The following is a 3,478-nucleotide window of genomic DNA, read 5'->3' on the forward strand; positions in this document are numbered from 1 at the left end:
GTCTGAAATTGTCTTCATTCTTCCTTTATCCTTTTAGGAAATGTATGTTAATATAGAACTTTAGGTTGGTAGTTACTTTTATTTCAGAATACTGAGTATATTATTCCTGCATACATGGCTCATGTTGTCTCTGAGAAATTGGTTGTCAGTCTGACTATGGGTGATTTGAAGGTAATGTTTATCTTCATCTTTGGTTTTCTATCATTTCAGTATGATATGTATAAATGTGTTTATTTATAAGATTCAGTGGACTTCTTGAACCTACGTGTTAGTTTTATCTATTTTGAAGCTTTCTCACACGTTCTTTCTTTAAATATTTTTTATCTTATCTCTGTGTCTTGCTCTCTAGATATTTTTTCTGATGTATGTTATAATTAATCAATTTTCTCTTTAACTGTGTCTAATATACTGTTTAGCTCAACTTTTCAATTATTTGTTTTGGGGACAGTAGTTTTTATTTTCATTTTCTCTATTTCTTAATGTGCTATGTCATTTTATATTTTGCTGTTTCTTAGACATTTTTAATCCTGTTTTTTTTCATTTATTTTATTTTATTTTTATTTTTATTTTTGAGATGGAGTCTCGCTCTGTCACCCAGGCTGGAGTGCAGTGGTGTAATCTCAGCTCACTGCAAACTTCACCTCCTGGGTTCAAGCATTTCTACTGCCTCAGCCCCCCAAGTAGCTGGGATGACAGGCACGCATCACGATGCCTGGCTATTTTTTGTATTTTAGTAGAGACAGGTTTTTGCCATGTTGGTCAGGCTGATCTTGAACTCCTTACCTCAAGTGATCTTCCCACTTTGGCCTCCCAAAGTGCTGGGATTACAGGTGTGAGCCCTCTTCACTGGCCAAGTCTGGCTTTTTATTTACTTCACTATAGCAAGTGTATTTTAACAACAATTTCTACCTAATAAGCCAATATCTTTTTGTGCAATTATTTCTCTTGTTCATTGTTTCATATTGTTGTAGTATATATATCTTGTTCTCTTGTACTTGGTTATCTTTAATTATATTCTGATTTGGGAAAATAATTTGCGAAAATAACTTGAGGTAGAAGATGCAAGTTTTATTTTTTTTCTGTTCCCCCTAAGGGAGCGAGCAGGCATGTGGGGCACTGAAAATCTAGCCAGGTGCACTCTGCAATAGCAAGATTTACAATTCTCTGGACCACCCAGTTGACACCATTTGGGTGTATACATTCATTTAAGTGCAGATTTACTTCTTATTCTCTTTTATTGTATCGATTAGGAGTCCATCAAGAAAGCAAAACCATTCTGATCATTAAAAAGAAATGGATCGGGAACAGCTGAAAGTTGCATGTGGAAATCAGGAAGTTTCAGGACTCTCTGGAACTTAGTAAAAACGACCTCACCATGATGCTTTTGAAAAACATGTCTTCTCTGGAGGCACAGTACTTTCTTCTACTGGTTTCTACTTTTGGAAGTATCTAAAATCTTTGAAGTCCTTCTTGAAAGTCTAGGAAATGAAGTTCCCAGGGTTCCTGGTTCTCTAACATGAAGAAAACAGAAGGGAGTGGAGATGAGTGCTGGTTGTCAAAAGAAAACGAAAGCTCGATACCCAGCACACTTGAATTCAGGGGTCATCACTCTGGTTCATAGATTAAACTGGCGCCAGGTTTATGATTATTACTAATTCGGACAAGCCTTGTCGGCTGCATTCAATTCCCTCACCACACAAAGTCAATAGATTCTGCACAGTTTCACTGATATTTTTTCAAAATTGGCGATTGCCCTCAGGACAAAAGGGAGATGGGTGGGCCCTACACTTGGTTTTTGTCTTCTTTGAGGTTTGTTTCCATAATTTTGCATGACCTGTAGCTCTTTGATGCTTTTAACATTTTTTAAAAAGCTTTCCTCAATGAGAATGCTGAGGTGAATCATCTGTTTTTATAAGTAGTGAGAATCCTGCATTCTCTTTTTTCAGAGTTAAAATATTATCTACTATAGTAAGGAGAAAGTATGATCTACTATAGTAAGTAGAAAGTATGATCACCTTCTCTAATTCTCTCCAACAGGTGAAAATGAACAGAACATGAAGTTTATGCCATTATGTACATTTTGAATTTAAGAGCGTCCACTGAGGTTTTAATACACTCTGGAAAAATTAAAGACTTTTGTTTTAGCGAGCTCAAAATCTTGGTCAGTATTTCTTTTTTGAGATGTAGAAGGTGCAGATGTTTTTATTTCAGTACATTTTCTTCTTTATATTTTTCTATTTAAAATTGTTCTGTAAAATGACAACTTGTAAGTGCCCATATTTATGGGGTACAAGGAGAGGTTATCACTTTATGAGTACAATGTGGAATAGTTAAATCAAACTAATTATCATATTCTTCTGCACAAATACATATATGTAAATTTTTGCAGGGAGAACTGCAAATTCTTAATGTAACTTTTTACAGTTAGAATCTTTGAAATGTATTCTTTTCGCTGTTTTTAAGTGCACAATATATACTGTTATTCACTATATTCACCACTCTGTGTAACAGAATTACCATATGATCTGGCAATCTTACTCCTGGGTATTTGCTCAAAAGATTTGAAGTCAGTCTGTGGAAGAGATGTCTGTGCTCTCATGTTCATGACATGTTCTTCTCTAAAAGATGTTTCCCCAAACCATCAAAATAAAGGCAAATGAGAAGAAAAGAGTCTAAAATAGAAAAACAGGTTTGAGAGATGAGGCTTTGCTAGAAAAAAAAAATAATCCAACCATATAATGTAGCAAAATTACTTTTTAAATAAAAATAAAAATAAGACAGTCTTACCCTTGAGCAGGTCTGAAGAATCAAGCTGTCATCACACAAACATCTTTGAAGAATGACACAGAAATATGATTCTTTTTGCCTACAGCAGTTCTAAATAACACTTCGCAGCTTCCAGAGAGTCACGAAAAAAGAGTGATTACACATAAAACCACGTAGTTTCAATGCCAAACAGTTCCCAAAGCTGCAGCATTTACAGCGAAAGAGAACTTTAAACCCTTATAGAATCTGGTCCGTTACCAGAAAAACAAAATCTCTGTGCCCAGAATAATTCTGATTTAAAAAAAAAATTCCACCTACACAGAAAAAGTCAATCATGAGTTAAAGACCCTACAATATTGCATGCTAAATATATTCGCTTCAGGAATGCCACAGCATGCTGAATACACTTTCTTTCTTTCTTTTTTTATCCTAGCAATGTGGTTTTTGTAAGGAAATCCTAAAATTCACTGCTATAGAATTTTATGTCTTTAAAAAGTACATTGCTATGCTAAGAGGTATCCAATGTATAATTTTAAAAGGTGAATTACATTAAAAAGTGAACTCTGGGGAACACAGTGTCCTTCAAAATTAAAGATACAGAGTTAGTGAAGTGATGGAAATATATTCACTATATCATTTTACAGGTATTGTTTATCTGCCTACTATGTTCCAGGTTCTCTGTTTTCTCCACCATTCTGAAGACAGGGAGCTC

The 3,478-nt window shown here is 34.7% G+C and overlaps 1 long non-coding RNA gene across 1 annotated transcript; it reads right to left on the bottom strand.

Annotated features, from left to right (window-relative positions):
* Positions 1-1,047: 1,047 nt before the first annotated feature.
* On the bottom strand, positions 1,048-3,062 carry LOC105377794 (uncharacterized). Its single transcript, XR_941373.3, has 3 exons — positions 2,788-3,062; positions 2,518-2,672; positions 1,048-1,511 (listed from the first exon to the last, which is right to left on the bottom strand). It is a non-coding gene; the product is annotated as an uncharacterized LOC105377794 (long non-coding RNA).
* Positions 3,063-3,478: the final 416 nt, after the last annotated feature.

Source organism: Homo sapiens, chromosome 8 (genome assembly GCF_000001405.40).
Source record: "Homo sapiens chromosome 8, GRCh38.p14 Primary Assembly".
In the NCBI taxonomy this organism is placed as follows: domain Eukaryota; kingdom Metazoa; phylum Chordata; class Mammalia; order Primates; family Hominidae; genus Homo; species Homo sapiens.